The sequence below is a fragment of the Homo sapiens genome, chromosome 2, assembly GCF_000001405.40.
Source record: "Homo sapiens chromosome 2, GRCh38.p14 Primary Assembly".
In the NCBI taxonomy this organism is placed as follows: Eukaryota; Metazoa; Chordata; class Mammalia; order Primates; family Hominidae; genus Homo; species Homo sapiens.
Genome location: NC_000002.12, coordinates 23,650,672 through 23,677,314, shown reverse-complemented (window position 1 = coordinate 23,677,314; position 26,643 = coordinate 23,650,672). Strand labels below are relative to the sequence as shown.

The following is a 26,643-nucleotide window of genomic DNA, read 5'->3' as shown; positions in this document are numbered from 1 at the left end:
CACTAGCCTGCTGTTTCCAAACTGATGACACTGGATGACAAGGCCTATTTACTGAGCAGTGATATCTGGCCTCAGAGGTCCCCTCCGTGCCTACAGCCCCTGACCCAGGGCTGCACACCAGTGGGTGCGGGTGGGACTGAAGACTGCCTTCCAGCTGGAACATTCTCATGCCCTCTAAGATGATAGAAAATTTGCTTCTATTTTTCTCCTTAACATTTTTTGAAATCATCATAAAATTAACAGAAATATTCCCTTCTCTTTCCCTGGGTTTGTGCCCCTGTCCCTTAGGTCCAAGGATTGAACAGAGGTGGCTGCCAGCTTGGGCCGTGGGTAGTGCGACTGGGAGACCTAGATCTAGTCACAGATTCACCTCAATCTTCCTGTGACCTTGAGTGGGGGCTCTTTCTTCACCTAGGGTCCACCAGACCAAGGGCTGCCTTGATCCCTTATTTCCAAACTCCTTACCATGGGCTCCTGCAGGCTTCTATGACCTGACCTGACCTGTGCTCACAGCTTCATATTCTATCATGTTCCACGCATCCCCCAACTCTCTAAGTTCACAGGCAGTTCATCCTGTTCCTTCACTTTGAATGTTTCTCTTTCTGCCTTTGGCCAGGGTTTCTCCTACACTTGCTTCCTAGGGTCCCATCCATTCCTTAAGCCTCACCCTATTATTGTTATTATTTTGTAGAGACAGGGTCTCGCCATGTTGCTCAGGCTGATCTCAAACTCCTGACCTCAAGTGATTCTCCTGGCTTGGCTTCTCAAAGCATTGGGATTACAGGTGTGAGCCACCATGGCTGGCTGTAAGCCTCACTTAAAATCCCATCCTCGGCCAGGTGCGGTGGCTCACTCCTGTAATCCCAGCACTTTGGGAGGCTGAGGCGGGCAGATCACGAGGTCAGGAGATCAAGACCATCCTGGCTAACACGGTGAAACCCCGTCTTTACTAAAAATAGAAAAAATTAGCCGGGCATGGTAGCAGACGCCTGTAGTCCCAGCTACTCAGGAGGCGGAGGCAGGAGAATGGTGTGAACCCGGGAAGCGGAGCTTGCAGTGAGCTGAGATCGCGCCACTGCACTCCAGCCCAGGCGACAGAGCAGACTCTGTCTCAAAAAAAAAAAAAACAAAAAACCCATCCTCCAAAAATTCTTACAGATTCCCTCAGTTGCCATTAACTTCACTCTCTCCTGTGGTCCCATGAGACTTGGTACCTCTATTGGAGTAGAGACCCTTGGCTGCCTTATTACAGAGGAATGTCTGTCTGTCTGTCTCCTTTCTAATTTGTGATCTTCTGGAGGGCTTTTCTCTCTGGCCTCCTGAGCACCTGGCGCCATGTTTTGCACAAAAAGTTCCCTTCTGATTGGAATTCATTGTGGGTTACAGACCACATGCAGATGCGTGCTAGGGGGTTAGATCACATTCCCCCAAATGTGATCCACTGGAACTATTTGAAATACCACAGTTGTGTGGAATCGGATGGACAGAATGTAAAAGTCAAGCCCCTCTAACTTCAGGCAACACTGGTGCTAATAACGGCGATAACCCTGCGCTTCGTATGCAATCTACAGTTGCTAAAGCATTGGCACATTAATTATTTAGGTCCTCCTTGGGGAGAGATTTAATTATTCTGTTCAGCTCCAATGGCTTTGAAGAGCCTTAAATGGCCTTCCTGGGAAGAAGTGACCACCCCAGCAGCCACCAAACACAGGTGCAGCCTGGAGCCCTTGAGGTCGCTCTGCAGAACAGGGTTCTCTCCAAGCTTTGGGTCCCAGCTGCCCGGATCATAAGATCTACCCAAACAAAAACCAAGAACAGATCATTTTCATGGACAGTTCATGCCTTGTGGGCTCAGAGTAGGAGTCAAGGGGTACAGTCTCTTGTTTAGGAAGGAACGGAGGAGGACAGGGGGCAGAGTGTCAGGACCCCATCCCAGCCCAAGGAACCTGGCCAGAGGGTGGGCATTGCAGAGGTGGGGGTGGGTCCTGGGCTGAGCAGGGAAGGCCATGGGCAAATTCCATGGCTGCAGCTGGAGTAAGTGCCTGGTTTGGTTGACACTAGCAGCACGTAGTCCCTCCTGCCTCCAGCAAAAAGGTTGCTACTTGGCTCCTTCCCCTGCTTGGAGGATGGAGGCCGAGGGGTGATGGGAATATTCCGAGCGGGAGAGGAAGAACATGTCATGGGGTGCGGGCAGGGCCGAGAGACCTTGGGAGAAGGCCAGGGCTTGGGAGACTTGGGTGAGAAACAGGGTCAAGGCCAGTGGTGTGAAGAGCTCTGGAGTGGCCAGAGCCAGAGGTGGAGAGGACTTTGTGTGGGGAATTAAACATCCAGGGGAGTCAAGGCAGGACCTGGAAGAGCTCTGTGGGGACTGGAAGCCTGAAGGTGGGCTGGGGGAGGGCCAGGTGAGGGCCAAGGCAGATGGGAGCAGACAGAGGGGGAGGCATTTAGGGGCAGGGTGGCCCTACCGTCCTTTTATGAGGTAGTTGGCCCCACCAGGGGTTAGAACTTGTTACCAGGGAGTGGGGTGTCCTGAGGTGCCTTGGTCCTCAGGGCCAGAAGAGAGACTCGAGTCTGGCCCCAGAAACTGAACTGAATCCAATGTCTGGGGTGGGGGTGAGGGTGGGTGGGTCTCACTCCTCCTCCTGTGCTCATAGCCCTCCATGTCTTCATGTGGAAGAACTGTGTTTTGTCTACAGTGTTATTTATTCAGAGGTGCTGCTGCTTTTCCACTGGAGGTAGGCTCTTGGAAGATGGGGTGGTTCTTGGCTGGAGGGATTGAAGAAGCCAGGATAGATAGTTGGGGCCAGAGGCAAGAGACAAGTTCAGCACCTTGGAGAGCTCTGAGTGCCCTGGGGTCAGGGCAGAATGCCAGGGGAGCTCTATAGGGGTTCGAGGGTGCCCTGGAGCAGCTGACCATGTCCACCGCTGAATGAGGCTGGGGCCCTGACATCCTCCTTCAGAGGCAGACTCAGACCCCAAGTTCTGGGAACCTCAGATGGCTTGTGTCTGTTTGGCCCCTTTGTTTATTCATTAAACTGCTGTTTCCTGTGTGCCAGGTACTGGCGGGGGGAGGGGCGGGTGTTGGGGTCACATGGAAATCGGCACGTGTGCAGAGCTGGGGAGCTCACAGTTTAAAGGGAGACACACTCACAGAGCGTTTGTGTACTTGGAATGCCCTGTGAGAGGAGTCTGACCGGGGCAAGTGCTGGGCAGAGGTGGCACCGAGGAGGGGATGGCTGGTTCTTCCTGACGGAGTCAAGGGAAGACTCAAAAGGTGAGCAGGAGCGCCCCAGCTGGCTGCAGGGGTGAGATGTGAACACAGGCTGAGGTGTGAGAGGGCCATGTTAGGGACTGAAGGTCACTGGTGTGGCTGGCATGTGCTGTGTGCACACATGGTTGTGAGTGTGTGTGCATGCATGTGTATCTACGTGTGTGTTTGAGCATGTGGTGGGTACAAGGGTGTGGGTGTGAACATATGGTGTGTGCAAACATGGAGGGCGTGTGTATGCACCCCTGTGTGCTAATGTATGTGTATGTGAGTGTGAGAGCATGTTGTGTGGGTGTGTGCATGCACCCCTGTGTATGTGCCTGTGTAGGGGTGTGTGTGTGTGAGAGAGAGGATGTGGCATGGGTGTGTGTATGCACCCCTGTGTATGTGTCTGTGTAGGGGTGTGTGTGTATGTGTGTGTGTGAGAGGAGGTGGTATGGGTGTGTATGCACCCCTGTGTATGTGCCCATGTATGTGTGTGAGCATGTGGCATGGGCGTGTGTATGTGCCCTCATGTATGCATATGTGTATGGAAGCATGTGGTGTGGGGGCGTGTATGCATCCCTGTGAATGTGCCCATGTGTGTATGTGTGAGAGAGACAGCATGTGGTGTGGGGGTGTGTACGTGCCTGTATGTGTATGTACATGCAAGCACGTGGTGTGGACGTGTGCATGCACCCTGTGTATGTGTCTGTGTGTATGCAAGTGTGAGGATGGGTGTATGTGTGTCCTCTTGTGTACAGTGCATGTGAGCACGTGGTGTGGGAGTGTGTCCTCTTGTGTATAGTGCATGTGAGCACGTGGTGTGGGTGTGTGTCTGTGCCTGTGTCTGTGTAGATGTGTGTGTGAGACAGCATGTGGCATGGGTGCGTGTCTGTGCCCTTGTGTATGTGTGTGTGAGCATGAGGCCTGGCATGTGAGAAGCAGAGGGAAAAGCTGCAGATCAAGGCAAACCTGTATCTGACAGTGAAACAAGCAAACCAACCCATCATCTTTTTCCCCTAGCAGGCTGGAGGCCACTGGTGGATTTCATGAGGGAGGCTGAGAGCATCAGCTTTGTCTCTGACACTGAAAAGGTTGCTGGAAAGCAGCCGCGAGTGGCCTGACCCTGCACGCACGGGCCCACCTCCCCATGCTCCCCTGGCTTGGGGCTTTCTTTCTCACACCATCATGAGCTCCCTTCTTCTGGGCTGCCCCCTGCCATTCCAGCCCTTTCTGACCCCTCGTCTGAATTTCCCAGGCCGTAGGCAAGCACCCAAAGCATATCATCAGGTGCCCACAAGGCACAGGACACCGGGCCGACACCTGGAGCTGGGGTGAGGTGAGAGCTGCAGAGGCGGGGGCAAGAGGTGAGCAAGACAGCTCCTGTCCCAGGGGAGCACGCAGCTCAGTGTGGACATAGGTGCCCACAGTGAGGAGCTGGATGAGAGAGCTGCAGGGATGGTCAGCTGTGGTGCTAGAGGCCTTATGAGGAAGGAGGGGTGGGTGGCCAGGGCTGAGGGGCCGGGAGTGGGGCCAGGAAGTGCAGGGCTGTGGAGCGACTGCTGGCTGTCTCCAGTGGAGAACCAGACACATATGAGGGGGGCATGTCACTCTGAATCGACTAGCTCAGCACCTCGGTGCATATTTACAGGCCTCCTTCATGCCAGGCCTGGACCATGAAGAGGAAACCACTTTCTGTCCCCAAGGAGCTCAAGTCTGATGGGGAAGGAGCCACTGGAGTGGACGGAGGTGAGTTTGGCTGCTCAGCACTGGAACCCCTTCCTACTGGGGACAATCCCAAGATGGGGGGATCTGGGCCATGTCACTGTGGGGGCCCAGGGGAGGTAGCTCCCTGGTAGCTGGTGTGTGGCCATGAGGCCTGGACTTGGCCGGTTGGGTGCTCTGGCCCTGGACTTCAAAGTTCCAGGAAGGAATGCAAAGACAGTGATGGCCATGGTGGCCGTGATGAACTTGCAAAGCTATGCTCCCCCAGGGCCTGGGCAGGCTCTGCCATAAGTCGCATTTATCATAGGCCTGACATATCCATGTGTCTGTCCCAGTCAGGGCCTGGGATGCCAACCACAGGACCCAGCTCTGTCAGCGAAGCAGAAAGGTATGTATTGGAGGTTGGGGAATGAGGCTGGGAATTGGGGCAGGAATGGAGGCAGTGCAGCCAGGCCCGTCACAGAGACAGTCCCCCTGGCGTCCTACATGGGCGCAGTCTCCCCTGGGAGCCCGCTGCCCTCCATCCCCAGCCAGTGGGCAGCCCTAGGTTCCAGAAGTGGCTGGCTCTGCATCTACTCATGAGACCACCTCCTACTCTCTTTCCATTCGGAGGCCCCGGCTGGCTGGCCTCCACTGGGGGTCCTAGGGAGCTGGGTGGACAGCTGTTGTGGGGTGTAGGGAGGGGCTGGCTGGGAAAAGGCCGAGTGAGCAGCCTCAGGGCTTCTGCTTCCAAAGCTGCAGACCCACAGGAACGGTGTGCTTTGGAAATAGAAGGGTCACAGGCACCTGGACGAGGAAATGGTATTCCTCCATAAGGGATGAGGAGCCCAACAGCCACAGATGCAAACCCAAAGCCTAAATTCCTATGTGCTCATGAAACCTCGCTTTGTTGTGTTCTTCCTGGAGACCTAATCTTTCCAAGATCTGGTCAGCTACGGCTTTGGGAAAGTCAGCCACCTGCAGCAGGTGACGGGCCGGCTCAGAGAAGGAGTGGAAAGAGACGCAGAGAGAACTGGGCATGGGGCAGGCAGCAGAGAGCCACAAGGAGATGGGAGAACACGAGTCTCCTCCTCCTGCTCCAGTAAAAGCCATTACTTCCCAAGAATTCTGAGAGCCACAGTTCCAGCAAATAAATAAATAGTTTTAAAGGATTTGCAAGAATTAGTGAACCAGAGCCAGGAGTACAATCAGTTTAGTTACCTAGGTAAAGAGGGAAATGAAATGGAAACCCCAGATGCCAGGAGCTAATGACAGCTCAGAACACTGCGAATCCCATCCAGGGAGGAGTCACAGCTGGGAGGATGTGAGGTTAGGAGGGAAGGGAGGAGGTGGGGGGGGGGAGGGAGGGAGGGAGGGAGGGAGAGAGAGAGAGAGAGAGAGAGAGAGAGAGAGAGAGAGAGAGAGAGAGAGAGAGAGAGAGAGCGCGTGCATGTGTGTAGAGACCCCTCCCTTCTCTGCCCACTCTGTGCCCTTCATGGTCTTCCAGGAGGAAGACCCTGGAAGAACCAGGTCTGCCCCTGGTTCTCTGGGCCCACCCCTCCTGCCCAACCTGGCCCGGGTCAGTTTAGGGCAACATGTCTGCCTCCTGCCATTTCAGGGGAGGTAAAAGCCCAAGAGTCATTTCTAGTTTTTCATATTTCTAACGATCTTTTAAAATTATACAATTAATCTCCACATCATTAGAGGAATATTAGAAAATCTTAATAGGCATGAAAGAAGAAAAGTGGAATTGTGCCCTCCAGGTGATCAGCCCCCCGCCGCAGGCCCTGGCACAGAGTCAGGGAGTCAGGTCTGCCTTAGGAGGCCTATGTCAGGCCTGGGGGTTGGGGGGACCATGCAACAGTTGGGAGTCAGCCCCTCATCCTGCCAAGGGTGGAACACTGCTTCGGTGCCCCTGTGTAGCAGGCACGGTGCCCAGCACACCCCCCTGCCCATCACACCGGTCGGCGAGTCCAGTCGTGCCCCAGCTTGTGAGGAGGCACCCGGCCTGGTCTCATGAGGTCCCAGAAAGGACCAACAGGTGGGCTGTACTGACACCCCCGTCCTCCCAACCCCCAGGTTGTGCCTGGTCTCCCTGCGTCCCAGGCCAATCCCTCCTCCTGGGTGTGTGATCTTTGCCTGCTGAATCCTGTCTTCCAGTTAGCCCGCGAGCTCAGGTAGGTGGAGCCGCCGCCTTTCCCTCCCCCGATATTCCCAGAGCCCTGTGCAGCCTCTGGCACTCACTGGGCTCCACGTGACGATCTACACGCCTGAGAACCCAGATGCAGGAAGGAGAGGCCTAACTGGGCACACGGCCCATGCTCTGGGGCCTTCTGGCTCAATTCTCCCTGCATGGGACTTTTCATGGGTCCCTACCATTTCAGCTGAGCTTCTGGCTTTACTGACACCCCTCTCTGCTTGGGTCCCTACCCACATGTATTTAACTTGACAGTCTGTTTTTCTTGGAAGCAGAACCTACCAGATTCTGTGATAATACCACGGCCCTGTTTTTACAAATCCAATGGACACAGTTACCCAAGAGTTGCTGTCCTGCGCTGGCGGGGCCAGGCCTGTGTACTCGGCTGCAGCCCTGGGTTCTGGGGGCCTCAGCTCTAAATGAGCTGGGCACCGGCCACTGTGCTCAGAGGCTGACTGGGGGTGGCAGGGCAGCCACACAGAGGGGGGACCATCCCCTACGTGAACACAAACGCTGAGAAGGACCAGTCTCCCCAACAGGCTGTGTCCAGCACGGGCCACGGGTGCTGCTCACGGGGTACCCAGCACTCAGGGAGCCCCCACTGTGTGCCGGGCCCTGTGCAGGGGGCAGAAGTGATGCAACAATCTGGCTTTCTGCCCTAGGGAGTCTTCTCTGCATGTACAGTTATCTACTCTGTGGGGCAGGACTGTGTGGAAGGGAAACGGAGGCTGCGTGGGAGCCTGGAAGAGGAGGGTGGCACCTAGGCTATTCCCTCTGCCAGGGAATTCCTTCGCCCTCGTTCAGAAAACATCTACCCATTCGGTAAGATCAGCTGCCACTCTGTGGTCCCATCACACTTGGCTCAGCACTCTGCTGAGTCTGTTTACTTCTCTCTGGACCAGGGGTGGCTCATGGACAGGGACTCCCAGCACTGAGCACCCAGCAGGGGCAGAGAGGTGTCTGCTGGCTGAGTGAATGACCCTGACCAAATGGGAAGAGAGACGCCTTCCTGGCCTGGGGGCACTGAGATGCTGAAGCCTGGCCGCGTGGGGGTCGTCATCAGCTGAGTCTGCGGTCCCCTGTGGTCACACAGGACCAGGTCCTCCTAGACTCCACAGCCCCCGGCCCAGGGATGAGGAAGGTGCTGCTCGGCCCACCATGGGCCACAGCCTTCCTGCTCAGCTCAGCCTCGGTGATGAATAACGCTGCCCCTGCTGTGCCACTTCCGGGCTCTCTGGGCTCCCACACTCTGCTGTGGAGGCCCAGGCTGGCTCCCTCTCGGGGTGGGTGCTGCCTCTGGAGGGTGGAGGTGAGGGGAAGGGACTGAGGGTGGCCCTGCGGGGCCTTGATGGAGCAGCAGTGGGGACCATGCACCTCTGAGGGTCTGGGTGAGTGGGGGCTGCAGCCAGGCCTGGCTGGCCTGGGGGATCAGGAGGGTCTGCAAACCAAGCTCTGGGGCTCCCTGAGGTTCCAGGAAGAACCCCGCCTGTCCCGGCAAAGGTGGATCCAGGAGAGGAGTGGGCTTGGCCACCTCGGCTGCCACCAGAAGCTGCCCCCTCAGCTCCTATCTGTTCCCCTCTGCCCCTGGAACTTCTGAAACCACTTCCCTCCTCCCTGGACTTCTGCAGGCCGAGGTATGACTGTTCTGTCTCCCGTTAGCAAGGTCTGCAACATTGCTCTGAGCAGCATCCTCCAATGTGGTGCACCTGTTCGACAGGGGTGCAAAGGTAGGTGCTGGGGTGGGGGCAGTCATGGACTTGCTCCCCACTCCGAAAAGCTCTCACTCCTCAGGAAAGCTCTCAAAAGCAGAGCCTGCATCTGACTAGTCTCTGCACCCCAGTGCCTGGCATAGCTTCTGGCCTCAGGTAGGTTTCAGGTAAGGTCTGAATGAGTGATTGAGGGAAACAGGTGCTGGCTTGGAGAAGATGCTGTGGGATAGACGGCACTGAGCTGGGTCTTGAATGGACAGGGTTTGAGCCACCAGCCATGCAGGAAGGGCTATCCACAAGCAGAGACTCAAGGTAGGGAAGCACAGAGTGACCAGGGATGCTACAGTTGGGCCAGCTGGGTGCGGGACGATGGAGGGAAGACGTCAAACAGGGAGGAGGAGAAAAAAATAACGCAGAGAGGGGCAGGACCGTGGCAACAACTGAACTGAAGTGCTTTAGGCATTTCCAGAAATCCAGTGTTCTTCTTCCCTCGGCAGCGCCTACCAGGGAAAGCAAAAGCCTGCAAGCCTCAGTGCCTGGCCCGCTCCTGGCCTGGAAAGAGGAACAGAGGGAGGACGGCGGGGCTGGGTGGTCTCCCGATCACAAGCATACATTTCCCAGGCATCTGGGCAGTGATGGAACTGTCAACCTGGAAGTCACCTCGAAGGAGAAATGACCGTGTGCCTCAGATAGAACAGACCCCGGGCCCCAGGGTGGAGCACGCACTATCCATGAACTCAGGGTCCTAGGGGTGGAGTCCAGGGCCCTGGGTGGCAGGGCCAGGAGGAGCAGCCGGGTCTACACAGGATGGCACCGTGCAGTGGTGGTGACGCTGAGCAGGGCCTGGTGAGCACTTGCTGGGTGATCACCACGTGCTGGCGCTGGCACTGGCACTTCACAGTCCTCATTGCTTTTGAGTTTTGGGAGAGGTGCAGTGAGGTGACCTGCCCAGAGGAGGGAGGCTGATCTGATCTGACATCTGCCATAGGCCTGTCCTGTCTCACATTGGTTCCTGGCCTGTGTACTGGGCTCACCTGGAGGCTTTAAAAACATACTGAGGCTCAGGCTTCACCCCACAAGTTTCTGATTCAAGAGTATGTTTTTGCCTTTTTGTTCTCACTCCCAAAGTGTCCGGATCTGTGCTCAGAGCGCAAAGAAATTTACTGAAAAAAATAAAATTAAGGAACGACAGCTCAAAGAGCCAGCAATTTATGCAAATGAATGCAAATAAATACACACTTCCATACATATGTTTATGCAAATATTCTTGTGGTCCTTGCAAATCACTCACCCGCCTGCAAGCAGCCACCTATGAATTCTTGGTGAGAACCCCGGGCAGAGTGCCCGGGTTAATGACAGGTGGTATCACGACCTCCCAGAACAGACATCTCTATTAGCAAACTCATCCCAGAAGTCCCCCAGGGAACCTCACTGAGCCTGACTCTGCCCACCACAGCCCCCTCCCCTACTCACTCAGGACTCAGGGCTCTCTCAAGGCCACTGGCCAGGGAGGGATTGGGAGCAACTGCCCAGTAGGCACTCCAAGGCCACCAGGGCTGGGCACAGAGAGAAGGGCCCTGGCAACTGCCAGGTGCCTTATAGCTGCTGGGAGGACAGCTGTGACCACAGAGGGTCGGGCTGCCTTTACCTCTGTGCCAGTCTGGGTGGGCCAGCCTGTGGCTGAGCACTTGATCTTGGGTGCTCCACATGTGCTGTCTGCCTGACCACACCCTACAGCTCACTTTCATAAAGCAGGAGGCACTGGACTTCAGAAGGAAACTCGCTCAGTCACGATCAGAGGTGAGTGCCCCATGCACATTTCCTCAATGGACTCTCCTTGCATATCCAGCCCTCATTTGCAACCCCTTCTGCCGGGCTTTGCGGAACAGTCATGGTCTCCATAACTTCAAGGCACCCTTGCTTTGTTGCCTCCAGGATAAGCAACTTCTGCAACCTGCTGGCTTTTGGCCTTGGTCCCCGAGAAAGACTGAGAGGAACTGCTCTCTTCCCACAGGTCACCGCACACTATAGTGTCCTCCCCAAGCCGAGGCTGGGCACACTGCCCTAGTTGCTGCCTGGGGTGGAGGGAGCTTGGCAAGGGGGTTGGGATGTGGCTCTGAAGATCCACCCGAGACCCCTGCCCTGGTTTTGGGGATCCTCGCTCAGCTTGTCTTAGGCGGCCTTGGAAAAGGCACACGCAACTTGTGATTTCTCTAGTTGCTGCATCTGGGATGTGGATGCCGTCATCATTTGGGAGGCTTTGGGGAGCTCAAATATGAGCCCCCTGAGGGCAGGGAGTTTGGTTTGTTGTGCAGGGTAGGTGCTCAGTACATTTTTGTTGACTGATGCATAGAATGAGTTTTTCCTCCACAACACCTATGCCTCAATATTTTCTCCAGTTGTCCTTGTGACTTTACAACTTGGGGTGAGGTGTGGGCCTGTCCCACCAAGGTACTCATCTCTAAGAGGGCAAGAATGGACAGTGTCCCCCATGGACCCAGCATACAGCTCATATTTGGAAAAGGTTCTTGATATGGTTTGGATATTTGTCCCCTCCAAATCTCATGTGGAAATGTGTTGGCGGTGGGGCCTGGTGGGAGGTGTCTGGGTTATGGGTGCGGACCCCTGGTGAATAGCTTGGTGCAGCTCTCACGGTCATGAGAGGCCTCTCCGTCTATTAGCTCATGCTAGGCCTGGTTGTTTAAAGAAGCATGGTGCCCCTTCCCTCTCTCTTCTGTCTGCCCTCACCTTGTGATGCCTGCTCCCCTCTGCTCTCCACCATGAGTGGAAGCTGCCTGAGGCCTCCAAAGAAGCAGATGCTGGTGCCATGCTTCCCGTACAGCCTGCAGAACCGTGAGCCAAATCAACCTCTTTTCTTTATAAATTACCCAGCCTTAGGTCTTCCTTTAGAGCAATGCAAAATGGACCAGGACAGTTCCCTAGTTGAAAAGGTAAGCTCATTTAAGCATGGGTCTCACTTTTGGCAGGGGTACTGGTGGTAGGGAGATGGCAGAGGGGTGTCAAACCCTTCAGGCCATGATGGAATTTGAATGACTAGTGTCCCATTGGGCACCAGAAGTCAGTTCAGGTATGATTCTGTCTCACCAAAGGCCTGTGACAGCAACTTTTCAAGCATAGAAATCTCTGGGCCCCTGGAGACAACACATCCCTCCAAGCCCTGCGCCCCTGGTGGCAATCCAGCCCTTCAAGCTGTAACACAAGGTGGATTCCAGTCCAGTGGAGAGAAATCTGCCATGTGGTGTCAGGATACACAGGCTGGCCTCACTGTCCTCACTCCTAGTTCTTGTTGGTCCAACTTTTCAGGAAGAAAAAGAGCTCTCACACTCAGAACATTCTCCATCTGAGTACCAGCGGCTCTAGCTCAGCCACCAGCCACCCGAGTCACCACCCAGGCACGTGAGAGAGGCCCAGGCCGTGGAGAGCACTATCTCTGTGCACTTTTAAAGGGCAATTTTATTCTTTAATTACCTCAGGCTGGCCCTTCACCTCCTCAGCTTTTCTAGGCTGTTTGGGAGATTCCCTATGGCTCCCGTCACTCTGTGGTTGTGGGAAAAGGGACAAAGGAGATAAAGCATCTCCTTTGGAGGGGAAGGGGAGTGATTGGCCCCGGAGCCTCCTGGCTGGTTGGTGGTTGGCCCTGCCAATGAGTCTGGGGTCTGTCCCATGGCAGGCTGCTGTCTTGAAGGACTGGCCCTCACCCACATGCCAGCCCTGGGCACAGCCGTGGGTGCTGCCCTCCTCTTTGTGGAAAACTGGCTGGAAGGGGAGAGGTGCAGGGAGGGCCCACTGGATACAGGTTTATGGTCAACTGGACTCATCAAACTGATGGCAAACAAACCCAAGACTGTTAGGAAACATCTATCCCCGCCTCCTGGCCCTGGGTAAACATGTTCTGTGCGGTGATCTTGCTCAGGGTCACCCAGGATCTAGAGTTGAGACCCCAGGCCAGTCCAAAGCCCAGAATCCAGAGACAGGAACAAACTCAGAATTTACATCCACAGCTCAGAGCTTAAAATTTAGAACCCAAAGCCCCAGCCAGAGCCCAATGTTTGACATAGTTCAACCAGAGGCTAATGTCGACCTAAAATCCTGGCACTGAGACACCTGGACAGAGTCCCAAGAACCCTCCCTGCCCCAGTGTGCTGGAAAGTTCCCTTTGCTGCCTTGAGCCATCTGATTGGCACCTGACAGTGTGCAGTGTATTAATCATGGTCAGGGCTTTTCAACATGCAATAAAAAGCTTTTTAAAACGTTCCGATGGGAGGTGATTAACTCTATTAAGTGGCATTACGGATCTTCCTATCTGTTGCTTTCATAAACATAGTTGTAGGCGCAATGTTTTATTATGGGCATAAAAATGTCCCGCATTACAATGCATAAGCGCATATTGATGTTATATTTCTGTAGTGTGCCAGGCGCCCCAGTCCCCAACCACTCGGAAAAGAAACTACACGTCTTAATAATTTATGTTCCAAGTTTTAACCAGGATTATCAATGGCAGCTTTTGAGCTTTCTCTTTTGGCAACACAATAGATCATAGTAAAAATGCACCGACAAGCGATGTGTCCGTTTGATTTTTTCCACCTGAATCAGCAGCCCAAACTCCAGACACAGCAGTTTAGGGCAACCAGCACACTGAAGAATTTAAGTCTAAGCATTTAATCTGTTCTTTCCATAAATTTCTGCTGCTTGTGCTTTATAATGATTCTACCAGAGGAAGTTTATTTATATCGCAGATTTTCAGCATCAGCACATTGAGAACACAACGGCAATCGCTCAGTCAATAGCTTACAGCCATGTATAATATCACTCCGGAAATCAAAAGCCCATTTGGAGAAAAGAAGGCTCAGATTAAAGTCACTTTAAGACATCAATAACTTGGAACTGGCTGAAGAGAAGTTATAAATATCCAGGGTACGCATATGCAAATAGGCGCTCGCAGACGCGCCACCTCCGCGGGCCCGGGAACCTCCCGGTGGTCCCCTCCCCGGCACACGTGACGGCGGAGCCGCGGGGCGGCCCGAGTGGACGCGTCACCACCTCCTTCTCCTGCCGGGCACAGGCAACCCCGCCCCAGCCCGCGGGGACCCAAGGGCTCTAGGGCTGGGGCGTAAGGCAGGCGAGGAGGGGACCCCTACCTGGAAACCCCAATAAACTCAAGATAAGCACACTTCTGGGTTGCTTGCTACTGGGCCAAAGGGGCGCTTTCATGACACCCGCCTCGTGCCTGCAACCATCTATCTCACTCCATAGCATTCGTCCTCAGCTGCGGGGTTTGGGGGCTGGGAGTAGCGAGGAGCAGCGAGGAGCAGGGCGCGGTAGGGGAAGCCCAGCACTTTGAAACGCCTCCTCCCACCTGCCACCCTCTCGGAGACCGCTGATGAGATCCACTCTTGGAATCCTCAGGGCAGCTCTATGACAGATTGCCCCCATTGTACAGGCCAGGAAAATGAGGCGCAGAGAGTCACTGGTCCCAGGCCACACAGCGAGTGAGTGGCAGAGTGGAGATTTGAATCCGGTTCTGCTTAATTCAAAGCCTTGCATTTACGGCTTTCAACCCACCGCTGTGTTTCATTGCTTCCTGCTCACCCTTCCCCAGGCAGTCAGGCTCGGGGCCCAGGAAGATTTAGGGGTTCCCTGGGAAGGTAAAGCCCAAGTCCAAGGAGCACCATAGACAGTCTGTAGGTGGGCCCAGGCTGGGGAGAGGTGGCTCGGGAGGTGAGCTGGGTGGGACCCCTGGGAGGGGCAGACCCCTTGGAGGAGCCAAGGCAAAACCCAGGGGGATCTGGAAGTGGGGGCCGGGCAGGGCTCTCTCCTCAGGTGGTAAGGGGGCCTCTTGCCTTTGGGGAGGGAGGGAAGGCCAGAAGCGCCCACCAGGAGGGGCTGGAACCCCAGGAGGGGCTGGTGAACTCAACCGCCAGAGAGCAGAAGCTGCAGTCCTAGAAACTGTCAAGGCCTCGCATGGCCAAAGGCTTATCTTGGCCAAAGCCCCCACCATCTATTGATCAACAAACAACAAATGCCTCCAGGAGAAAGAGGAACACTTGATCACTGCTCAGAACACGACGTGGCCCTGCACAGAGCAAAGATCCATCAAAAAGGGAATTTCCTATGGTTGGTGGGCGATAGTAAGACAGTAGGGTTAAATCCTACAAAAATATCTAGACGAGACGATGTGAGAGGGCAGAAAAACTGAGATGAAGTTTGTGTTAAGACCATTGAAGCTGATCACTGTAAGTCAAAATTTTTCAGCATTACTTTTGCTGAAAGACCCCCTAGGAGCCCAGAGAGCCCCCTCTGCACCCTTGCTGGAGCTGCCCCATCCTCCTGGGTTCTACCCTCCCTGCTCTGATGCCTACGGAGCACCTGGAGCTTGTGCTTCAGTACTGTGGGCAGCACTCATCCTTTCAGCTGGAGCTATTCATTCACTCATACACTCAAAAAGTGTTTACTGAGCATCTACCATGTGCCAAGCGCTGGATACAGCAACTGGCTGTCCCCTTGGAGCATGGATTCTAGAGGATACCTGGCGACCTGCCCAGGGTCTCCTCCTATACAAGGGCAGGCACCGTTTGGCTGGCTCAGGAGTGCAGGGCAGCCATAGAGAGATGTTCTCGAGCATGCATTTGGGGGCAGTTGGCTCCAGAGCTCCCAGCAAATAGCTTTTCAGGGCCTCAAGCCTCAGTGACTCATCATCTCTCTTCCCCTCTTCCCAGTGGGCCTGGGGGTTGCTCATGGGTTTGGAGATTCTTCCCAGGACAAGTGCCCAGGGGCACTGTGGGGGCACCTCTACTCGGCCACGAGTAAAGCCATGTCCTTCCAGATAACTGACCTGGTCCCAGGAGCAGGATTACATACTCTTGTTCCCTCTGCCACTGCCCATGCCAGGAGGGGTTCGGGCCCAGCCCCAGGTGCAGCTCAGCAGGGCAGGGGCCTGGCCCTGTGACGAACGCAGGGGGAGGCTATGCCAGGTGTGCAGATGCGGTCTGTCTGGGGGTGGGGATACAGCTGGCGCCTTGTCAGGAGCCTGGGACCTTCTGAGGTTGGGCTTCCCTCCTGTTAAAACATTTTTCATGGTTTTTTTTTTTTTTTTAGACAGGGTCTTGATCTGTCACCCAGACTGGAGTGCAGTGGTGAGATCATAGCTCACTGTAACCTCAAACTCCTCGGCTCAGGCAATACTTCCACTTCAGCTTCCCAAATAGCTGGGACTACAAGTGCATGCCACCATACCCAGCTAAATGTTTAAGTTTTTTGTAGAGATGGGGTCTTGCCATGTTTCCCAGGCTGCTCTTAAACTCCTGGCTTCAAGTGATCCTCCCACCTCAGCCTCCCAAAGTGCTGGGATGACAGGTGTGAGACACAATGCCTGGCTTCTCTCTCTCTCTCTCTTTTTTTTTCTGAAACAGAGTTTTGTTCTTGTTGCCCAGGCTGCAGTGCAATGGCTCGATTTCAGCTCACTGCAACCTCTACCTCCCGGGTTCAAGTGATTCTCCTGCCTCAGCCTCCCAAGTAGCTGGGATTACAGGCGCCTGCCACCACGCCTGGCTGACTTTTTTTTTGTATTTTTAGTAGAGATGGGGTTTCACCATGGTGGCCAGGCTGACCTTGAACTCCTGATCTCAGGTGATCCACCCACCTTGGCCTCCCAAAGTGCTGGGATTACAGGTGTGAGCCACTGTGCCCGGCCAGCTTCTTGCCTTCTTACTGACCTGGGAAGAGGCTGGGGAACCCCTGGAGCTTCCATGTGGGCCCCAACTGCCACCTGCCACAGGGGAGGGGCTGGACTCCCAGAAGGCTGGAGCCTGGTGAGCTGGGGGCTGTGGGGACAGTTATCTGTGCCCCTTGTCCCTTTTTGGCTATGAGAACCAACTCTTGTTGGGACAGAGTGTTCCCCTTCCTGGAATTCTCCTGCCTCCTCAGGCCTCTCTGGCGGGGCTTGAACACCTGTTTTTGGCAGCTCCTCATGTGGAAGCTCTGGTTTCCATTTGGCAGCTGCAGGGGGTCCAGGGATGGTGGCTGGGAACCCTGATAAGCCCACACTTGACTTTCCCAGGGAGGGCAAGCTGCCTTGGCTCTGGTGAGAGCACCTGTGTAAATCAGAAGAGACAGGCTGAGGGGGAAGCAACAGGGAGCTGAGGTGACCTAAGCCACCTTACGTAAAGCCAGGTGTGATGTCAGCATACTGTCTTTCAGTTGGTGAGGCAGGGGGTGGTCCATGCCTGCCTGGTCTCTGGCCCAGGCCATGACCCCAAGACCCTCCACCTTGGAGAGAAGAGTGAGTCACAGAGAAGAGACCTGTCTGCCCTAGGCTGGCACTTGGGCCTGGTGGCTTCCACATGGTGTGGGGGTCCAGGGAAGTTTTCTGGAGGAGGAACAGGCTAAAGATAGGTCTAGATAGGGGTGGTGTGAGGGGCACTGTGAGCAGGTGCAGTGCTGTGGTGCACAGGTGGCCTGAGCAACAGGTGAGGGGCTTAGTGAGAAAGGAGGACCCCTGAAGGGCTCCAAGCAGGGGAGGGCCTGGCCAGGTGGTGCGTTAGGAAGATTGCTCTGACCATGGAGGCTGGAGAAGATGAGGAGGCAGCACGCCACCCAGGGAACCCTGAGGGGTGGGAGGGAGAACTGAGACCACAGAGGCTGGCCAGGCCTGGAGGAGGGCCTGGCTGCAGGAGGCCCTGGGGAGGAAGCCTGGTGGGCTGGATGATCTCATGGGGAGGCTCAGAGCTCTTTAGCCCTGGGCACAGTTGGGTATGAGTGAGGGCACCTCCTCTGATCTGGGACCAGCTGCTCATTTTCCAAATGGGGAAACAGGTTCAATGGTGGGGGAAGCGGGAGCTGAACTGAGCCGAAGCCAGGCCCCTCCTCTGTCCTCACGCTGGACACGCACCTGCCAAGCACTCACATAGCCAGATCCGGGACTCGGCGCTGAGAATGGAAGTGAAGATGAGGTTGAGGACAAGGCTCTGGGGCTGAGGACCCTGCTGACACTCAACTGCCTGGTGTCCACCCACTGACCCACTGGGTAAGCATGGGAAAGTTACTTCACATTTCTGAACCGAAGTTTCCTCCTCTGTAAACGGAGGTCATGAACATACCTACTTCAGAGTTGTAAGAATTAAATGGGTCAACATATGCAACATGCTAGAAGAGTGTCTGGAAGGTAATAAGCTCAGTAAGTCCCCCAGCGCCGCTGCGGACGGGTTGCTCAAGTTGCACACTGCACAACTCCAGGGGGTACCATTCAGCTCCCGCACATCCTAGGTTTCCTTCGTTATGACAATTTTCTGGTAGGTGGCAGCAAGGGTCCTAGAAAAGGGTACCTTTTTACATTTCATCCACAGTTGCTAAATCGGTCAGCAGCGGGGGTGTTCTAAAGTCACTCACAGTTGAGTGGGGGAGACAGACATGAAAATAGACCATCAAGATGCTGGGTGGTGGGGAGAGTGAGTGAAGGCTGTGCTGCGCTGGGGTGAGCTGAGGAGAGGCTTACTCTTCCACGCTGAGGCTGGGGCCTCCGAATTCTGACCAGAAAACCGGGATGTCACAGATACTCTGGGCCTCACGGGTCTCTCCTGAGGAGACCTGGTTCCCAGGCCCTCTGACCGGCCCAGCAATTTGAGCGGCGCAAGGCAGTGAGGCTGTGGCTTCAGCTCCCAGAGGCCAAAGTCCCCTTTCCTCTGCGTCAGCATGTCAGTGTGAGTTCCTCTGCCTCTGCACTCAATTCCGCTGTGGGAAAGGTGGGCGGACACAAACTCAACAACCGGAAGGCCTCTTGGCAGCGGCGGCCCCTGACTGGCTCATCATTCACCTCCCATGACAGACAACGAGATGGCCCCTCATGGACGGCCACCTCCCCTTCCCCTCCAGACTGCTTCGGCCCAGAAGAACGGAGCCTCATGCCTCTGGGCAGAGGAGCCACGGCCAGTGTCAAGGGGACGTGGGGCCTGTGCTGAGCAGCTGGGGGGTGCTTCTGTGAGCCTTGTGGGGAGCCCGAATGAGGCTGCCTGCCCTCTAATCTGCTGCCCCCCTCTAATCAGCAATTGGTGAGGCCAGATCTTGTCACCCTGTCAGCCCCAGACTTAGCAGCCTGTGCTGACGGGGGCATCTTCCCCACCCTGGTGTCCAGGGCTCAGGGGGTTTTCCTCACAAGCCCATGACGCTCAGGCAGGGCTTCGGCTCTGGTGGCACAGGCTGGGAGCTCCGCAAGGTGGAGGCCCCCACCCTGGAGCTGGCCTTGGTGGAGGAGGGTGGGACCCTTGAAGGGTGTGAGTAGGGTGGGGGAGGACAATGGGGAGGAGGGTAGAGGAAGGATGGGAAGAGGAGGAGGAGTGGGCAGGAGAGGGAGGAGGGAGGAGGGCCAAGCATGGAGAAGGGACAGAGAAAGGGAGCTCACAGGCTGTTCTGGGTGCCATGGAGCTTGAGGGGCTGAGACGCACAGCCAGCTGGCTCCACGAACTGCCCCGTGGCTCCGCAAAGCCCATTGGCCTCAGAGGCCTGGACCACCCCTAAGGGCTTCTGTCAGGCAGCTGAGAGGCCAGGCCAAAGCATCCACCTTCAGCCTTCCTGCTCCTGCTCCTGCCAGAGCCTCAGGAGCCCGGAAGGCTCAGCAAATACATCCCGGTGACCAACCAGCCTTCTTAGGCGAGGCCGGTCCCCCACTCCCGAGGCACAGCTCTCAGTGCTCTGGGGGAGCACTGGGCCCAGGGGGTGAGGAGATGCCAGCCAAAACTCTCTCAGGGAGTCCCAACCTCCCTCCCAGAGAGGGCCAGTGAATTCTTTCTGCTCTGCTGGGCTCCTTCAAAGCTTGATATCAGCACATGGTTAATCTTCCTTCCATTCAGAAATGCAGAGTAATTTGCCCGAATGGGGATTTCTGCATATTTATACTAATGTCTGTGTTTAAAGCTTATGAGACAGGGAATTGCTGAGAGATGTCCATTAGCAATATATACAGACTGCAATTATTTCTTTATGGTGTGTGGTTTGACTGCAGAATACTTTATTTCAATAGAAGTAGTGGGCTTTGCCTACTGTGTTTTCTTATGTGCCCAAATAAATCAATAAGAACAGTAAAGAAGTGAAAAGAGGCAAGAATAAAAGGACTGTGACCTTTTAGGATTCTGAGAGCCTTGAATACGCTACATCACGAACTGCCTTCGTCCTCAGAATCTAAATGCATGTGCCCGGGTTGGGGGAATTCCGTACATTTAAGGATGCCACTGAAAATTTGCAAACCTTCCTCAGGAAGCTCTCAAATTCATTCGGCCCAGGAAGAGCTGGCAGGGGTGCCTTGTCAGAGACAAGCAGGAAAAGGGAGTAAGGGGTGTCCTCAGAGGACCCCACTTCTGGCCTCTACTCCCCAAACCCCCATTTCCACCCTAGGACAGAAGCAGGTTTTGATCTGAAACAAAGTAAGCCCTAAGACTAGAGGTTCACAGACCAAAGATTTCTGGAATGTGCATGGATGATGGTAGAAACCAGTTTTTTTTTTTTTTTTTTTTCCTGTTGGGGACGAGGGGAGGGGAAGGAAACAGGACTGTTCCAAACCGATGAAACACCGTGCAGGCGGGGAGGGCCAAGCCCTTCTTAGGGAGTTTCAGTCTGGAAGATGCTCAGCCTGGGAGATGCCGGCCAGGAAGCCTGGGAAATTCCTCCCCTCTGCAGGCCCCACCCCGTGCTAATCCTGGCTCCACCTCACCTCCGCCCAGCTTCTCCTGGACTCACATGACTTTTCTATATTGGTGCCCAGGGGCTTAAGGCAGATGAGTCTTAAGCGGGCATCACAGACAGACCGGACACCTGTGCAGTCTGGAAGAACTTCTCAGCTCTCAGCCACGGGAAGGCGATCACTCAGCCTAAGGTGTTCCCAAGAGGCAGAACTGCCCTAAGGGGCCTTGCAGATAAGAATGGCCCCAGAAGTCGGGTGAAGGAACGCACATGGGTGATGCAAACATGATATCTGACTCTGCGTGGCAGCAAGCTGTTGCTGACATTTCTCATGCCTGCTCCTGGGAGCTGCAGTGCCTCACAGCCCTTCCCCTTCGCCTTCCCTCACATCCCTCGGTCCTGCCAGTTGGTTCTCTGCTCTGGGGTCTCTGCTCTGCTGGAATATCTGGGCAGCATCATTGGCGCACAGCCCACCTCCTCCGGGCCAGCATCTCCCATCGCATGGCCTCCTCAAAGCTGGCTTTCATCTGCCGGCGACGGTCCCCTTGGCGGGTAGGCACTATTCTTTTCCGGCCCCAAAATAGTTCCCTGAAGTCGACGCTGACTTCTCACTGCCTTCTTGCACAGAAATCTCTTCCAAGAGGCGCTGGGGTCCAGAAGAGGGACAGATGGTCCCTTTCTTTTTATAACACGGCCAGTCTTTTGAAGTGAAGAGCTATAAACACAAGTTTTGTCTTCAGCAGATGTTCTGTGGGCAAAACAAGTGCCACTTTGTGCTCTTAAGCAACTGCGAGTGGTGGTAACTGGGAGGAGTCTGAGACTGAGCAGAGCTTCGGTGCATCTTTGGGGGTCCAGGGGATGCCGCGTGATGATTCCCGTTCAGGCTGCAGTCAGATCTGCTCAGTCACTGACTGAGCTCACTGACTGCACTCACTCTGCTCAGTCAGTTCCAGGTCTACACACCTCCTGGAAACCATGTCTGCTTACCCTACTGGAGCCCGGGGACCACCCTGCACCAGTTCCACCTGTGCAGTGGCCATTTTTGAAGTGCTGGCAGTCTAGCTGTATTCTTGTGCATCTCTGCTAACTGATCCTGAGGTAGGGGCTAATGGCTGAGGGCTGGCTGGATGCGCTTCCAGAGGCCCATGGATCATCGGTATCACTTTCTTCCTGGAGCTATTTATGCCGATTTGGGGAATTTGCTAAGAACAAGAATGGCTGGCCAGGCATGACATCTGTGGAGCTCCCAAGGAGCCGTAGGCCATGCTAGATGTCAGCAGGAAGACAGTTCCTATAGCTCTGTGCTGGTGGCTCCTCATTCCTCGGTGACAGAAACACTAAATGGATGTACTGCTGTGTGGTAGATTTCAAGAATCTAATTCATTTTAAAGGGCATAAGCTCAATTAATAGGCCTCATCAACTTCAAAGATGTATCATCTTTGCACGGAATTGGCTCCTTCATAGGATGACTGGCTCCATTAACTTTATTGCATTGGCGATGCTCTGATTAAGGTGTGGGAGACGCAGCAACAGGAAGGACTCCCCAGGGCCGCCTGACTCCCAAGCTCCAGTGGCTTTGGTGGTGGCCAGTGCTCTGTCTGCAGCTTCCTCAAATGGCCCAATGCCCCTTGTGTTACTTTGGGAATTCCATCTACCTACCCACCCATCCATCCACCCAGCCATCCCAACAACGGTTTTGGAGATGAGGAAAGAGCCCAAGAATCACCAGCTTATACAGAGAAGTATCAGCCAGGAGACTGCAGGAGACACGAAACAGCCACTTGTGGGACTTGCCCGTCCTTAGCCCAGACATGCCTAGTGACCACACAGGCTACAACAGCAAGCCCCAAGGTGTGGTGTGGCGGAAAGGGTATGGGCACTGGAGGCAGGCAGTCTTGAGAATGACTCTCACGTTACCAGCTATACCTGGGCAGGGTCTTAAGCCAGGCCTTGGTTTTCCATCCATGACTCTGCCTCTCAGGGCAGATGCAAGGAATACATAAATACGGGGTGAATATACAATGAATATAAAGTGGTAGGCACATACAAAACATCCACCCCCCCCCCCCAACCTCTGTTCCCTTCTGGAAGAGAAGGCTGCATCTCCCAGCCCTGCCCACCGGCTTCCCTGGAATGGCACTCCCGACCCCAGCCCAAGACCAACAGCAGGGCCAGCTTCAAATCCTCAGGCGGCACCATTACTACAAAGACCCAGGGGGAGGCCACACATCCACATCTCTGCTTTCTGGGAGAGGAATCTTGAAGGTAATGAATATCTCCATATAAAAGAAAGACTGAAAATATAGAAATTATTTTTGGATCAATCAATTCCTGAAACCTGCCTGTTCACATGAGCAGATGGATTAGGAGCCTTCAGAATCACCATGGCAATTCCTAAACTGAGGGGCGTGTGAGGTCTGCAGCAACAGGTTCTATTTGGGGTTTGAAAAGAAAGCAAGGAAAGCCGGGGATGCTAACTGGGCCAGGTTCTGGCTCTCGAAGGTGCTCTGGACTCCACTGGAGAAACATAGCTGACTAGGTGTTCAGGCTCCCAGGAAGGAGCTGGGTGATTTAGTTTTTTTTTTTAAATTTATTTTTTGAGACAGAGTCTCACTCTGTCACCCAGGCCAGAGTGCAGTGGTGCGATCTTGGCTCACTGCAACCTCTACCTCCTGGGTTCAAGCGATTCTCGTGCCTCAGCCTCCCAGGCAGCTGGGATTACAGGAACCCATCACCACACCCGGCTAATTTTTGTATTTTTAGTAGAGATGGGGTTTTGCCATGTTGGCCAGGCTGGTCTTGAACTCCTGACCTCAGGTGATCTACCCGCCTCAGCCTCCCAAAGTGCTGGGATTATAGGTTGTGAGCCACCGTGCCTGGCCGAAGCTGGGCAATTTAACCAGGATATAAGAGTCGTTTTTGAAAACCACTGTCACCACAAAAAACACTCATCTGATATTTGTAGAGACCTGGAGGGTGGAAATCTGCCCAGGAGAGTTTGCCAAGCAGGAATTCCAGAGAAGCCCCTGACCATGGGAAGTGATGGGGTGGGGGCTCCCATATTCTCGAGTCAGAGTTTGCCCTTGTCACCTTTTCCTCTCCTTTTGGGATGATGTCTCCTCCCTCATCAAATCATCCTCTGTGGCCCTGGCTGACCTTGCCTGTGTGCGTCATGTATGACTCGGCCCCTGTGAGTGGTGCGTGTCTTGTCCCTGTTCTTCCTCCCATTCATTCCTTGTGGAGCTGCCACTGAGTACAGAGGGCTCCCGGTGGGATGTGCTGCTCTGATCCCAGAGGCTGGCAGCGTGCACCACATGGGCAAGCTTGGAGAGGCTTAAGAGCTGGCCCAGTGCGGCCCATGCAGATGCTGGGCTTGTCCCTGTAGAGTTCTTGGTCTGTGGGAGGAAAGAAGAGGTCTCAGATGGACAACTCCTAGCAGCAAATGAAGCAATTCCACAGGGCACCATGGAATAGGGGTGGTTTCACAGGGAGCTTTCTAGTGACAGTTTCTGGGGGAAATGTGATAGCTAGGTGATACCTCTGAGCCTCAGTTTCCCCACCTGTAAAGTGAGGTTTTCCTGGCTGACTGTAGGTAGCATCCTACTCTGACATTCACTATGGTGGTAAACGAGGGAGGCAGAAGGGTTTGAACGGAGCAGACGGGTTGCTGCTCGGGAGTAAATTCCCATCAGCAGAGAGGAAGGCGGTGAGTTGCTTCAGCGTGCACGGCTGGGGCATGGGGGTAGGGTAGGTGGGCTGAGACACACCTACCTCCTAGACTTCAAAAGGAAATAATTTAAAAATTCAGAAAGTTCGCTTGCTCCCAAGTTAGGGGCAAAAAGCTGCTGGAATGAAGGTGGGGCTGGGGGTGTCTACAAAAAGGAATGACCAACAATCTCGATCCTGATAAAAAGGAGGAGGTGGGGACACCAAAGAAATCAGCCGAGTGGACAGCAGGACTCTGGAGACAATTTTTTCTCTTTTCGCTTCATTTGGAAGTTTAAGTGTATATTCATATATCTCTGCGTGTATAAACGTGTGTTTTAACCAAATAAGCCACAATTATTATAGAAAAGTTAGAATATCTGCAGTGTGATGCTCAAGACCAAGGAGGTGACAGTCCGTCTCCCTGGGCCACCTTGCCTGTCACCTGGTATCCCTTTAAGAGGCACTTGACAGGCTGGAGCATGACCAGGGAGGACATGCACATGGTAAAGGGAATCTTCACAGGATGAGCAGCTGAGGCCACTGGAGATCTTTGGTTTGGAGAAAAGGAAATTCTGCCATCCTCCAAAAGCTGAAGGGCTGTCATGTAGAACAGGGACCAGCTTTGCTCTGGATGGCTCCAGAGGGCAGGGCCATGGAAGTTACACGAAGAGACAGCTCTTAACCATTTAACAGGACAAACTGTCTAGCGATCGGTGGTTCCTGCTTAGTTCCCAGTGGTGACGGTAGGTTCCCTCCCAGCATGAAAGTTCTATGGAAAAACAATTAACCCCAAGTATGGATGATGCTAATCATGGGAAATATATCCAATGCTTAGTTAACAAAGCAGAGGGAGCAGCCTGTAGCTAAACCAGGATAAAAATGGCAAAAGTGCATTTATGAAAATGTTCAAGCGAATCACTGAAAACACCCACAGGTAGAAGGCAGACATTGTAACTACATGGGAACTGTGCCTTGTGAGGGGCTACCCTTTCCATTTGCCAACTAGACAGACTTGTAGACTGTTACGGACTGAAATGTGTCCCCTCCTACCCCAAATTCCTGTGTTGAAGCCCTAATCCCCAATGTGATTGTATCTGGAGAAAGGGCCTTTAAAGAGGAAATTAAGGTTAAATGAGGTCATAGGGTGGGTCCCTAACCCAGTCGGACTGCTGTCCTTCTAAGAAGAGGAAGAGACACCAGGAGTGTTCATGCACAGAGGAAAGGCCACGTGAGGATACAGTGAGAAGGCGGCTGTTTGCAAGCCAAGAATCGAGGCCTCACCAGAAGCCAACCCTGCCTGCACCTTTATGTTGGACTTCCAGCCTGCAAAACTGTGAGAAAATACATTTCTGTTGTTTAAGCCACCCAATTTGTGGCATTTTGTGATGGCAGCACAAAATGAAAAGTCAGAATATCTACAGTGTGATGCTCAAGACCAAGGAGGTGACAATCCCTCTCCCTGGGCCACCTTGCCTGTCACCTGGTGTTCCTTTAAAAGGCACTTGACAGGCTGGAGCATGACCAGGGAAGACACGCCCTAGCAGACTAAGATGTAGCCATGGCGTTGACTTTGCTGATGTTGGTGAAAAACGAATACACACCGGCATTGTGTGTAGACCTTGGTCTGAGGCATTAAGCAATGACACCGAGAGGTCATTTGCAAGAGGGGAGGGCAAGGTAGTGAGAGGCCTGTGGGCAGAACCAGACTGTTCACAGTCTTAGTCTGTGCTTAGTCATCCAAGAGGCTGCCAGGACACTGTAAAAGGAAGGAGCATTTGCCTTGTGGTGTACTGAAAACACTTGGGCTTCCCTTGAACATAGATATAATACAAATGTTTTAAAAATATAAACATATATTCTTTTTTAAAGAAGAGAGTTACATGAAGAAAACAGGCAATGACAACGATTTCAATGGATGGCGACCTTTCAGCCATTTTTTCTTCAAGCAATTTACACAATGTTTTATGCTCCTAAAATACTCTGCTTGTATTATTTTTACCCCTTACATTTCTAGAATAGTGAGTGTGCTCTTGAATGGAATGCAATTTCAACCAGATCATTTCTCATTGAACCAGTTTTGTGCCACATTTTCTCCAGTTTTGTTTCCTATTTGGGGTGCCATGATGTCCTTCCCTCTCCATCACATGGGGACAAGCGGCACACATACCACGCCATGGCCTGGCTCACCTTCTCACAAAACTCCTCCCAACCTCTAGAAAACTCTAGGGCTCAGTCCAGCATGGCATACTTTTCCTGGCACAAACAGCAGATGCCAGATGTTTAAATAGTGGTTAGGCAACAGGAAACTCGACATTAAACCCCTGTCATGACAGGAGAAAGCGGCGTGCACAGGTAAGTTCTGGCCCATGGATGTGCACCTGATTTC

At 53.9% G+C, this 26,643-nt stretch overlaps 1 protein-coding gene across 3 annotated transcripts in view, besides 4 other annotated features; it reads right to left on the bottom strand.

The window, feature by feature from the left end:
• KLHL29 (kelch like family member 29) overlaps positions 1 to 26,643 on the bottom strand; it is a 323,428-nt gene that overhangs the window by 31,292 nt on the left and 265,493 nt on the right. The gene's annotated exons all lie outside the window — the stretch shown is intronic.
• Positions 2,729 to 2,929: a silencer, noted in NCBI's record as "peak3617 fragment used in MPRA reporter construct". NCBI's record gives its function as "represses an SCP1 promoter by STARR-seq MPRAs in K562 erythroleukemia cells {active_cell/tissue: K562}" and the evidence as "EXISTENCE:reporter gene assay evidence [ECO:0000049][PMID:32103011]".
• Positions 4,889 to 5,388: an enhancer, noted in NCBI's record as "H3K4me1 hESC enhancer chr2:23894797-23895296 (GRCh37/hg19 assembly coordinates)". NCBI's record gives its function as "activates a minimal SCP1, AML or CMV promoter by ChIP-STARR-seq in primed H9 embryonic stem cells {active_cell/tissue: H9 hESC(primed)}" and the evidence as "EXISTENCE:reporter gene assay evidence [ECO:0000049][PMID:30033119]".
• Positions 7,667 to 8,283: an enhancer, noted in NCBI's record as "H3K4me1 hESC enhancer chr2:23891902-23892518 (GRCh37/hg19 assembly coordinates)". NCBI's record gives its function as "activates a minimal SCP1, AML or CMV promoter by ChIP-STARR-seq in naive H9 embryonic stem cells {active_cell/tissue: H9 hESC(naive)}" and the evidence as "EXISTENCE:reporter gene assay evidence [ECO:0000049][PMID:30033119]".
• Positions 8,284 to 8,901: an enhancer, noted in NCBI's record as "H3K4me1 hESC enhancer chr2:23891284-23891901 (GRCh37/hg19 assembly coordinates)". NCBI's record gives its function as "activates a minimal SCP1, AML or CMV promoter by ChIP-STARR-seq in naive H9 embryonic stem cells {active_cell/tissue: H9 hESC(naive)}" and the evidence as "EXISTENCE:reporter gene assay evidence [ECO:0000049][PMID:30033119]".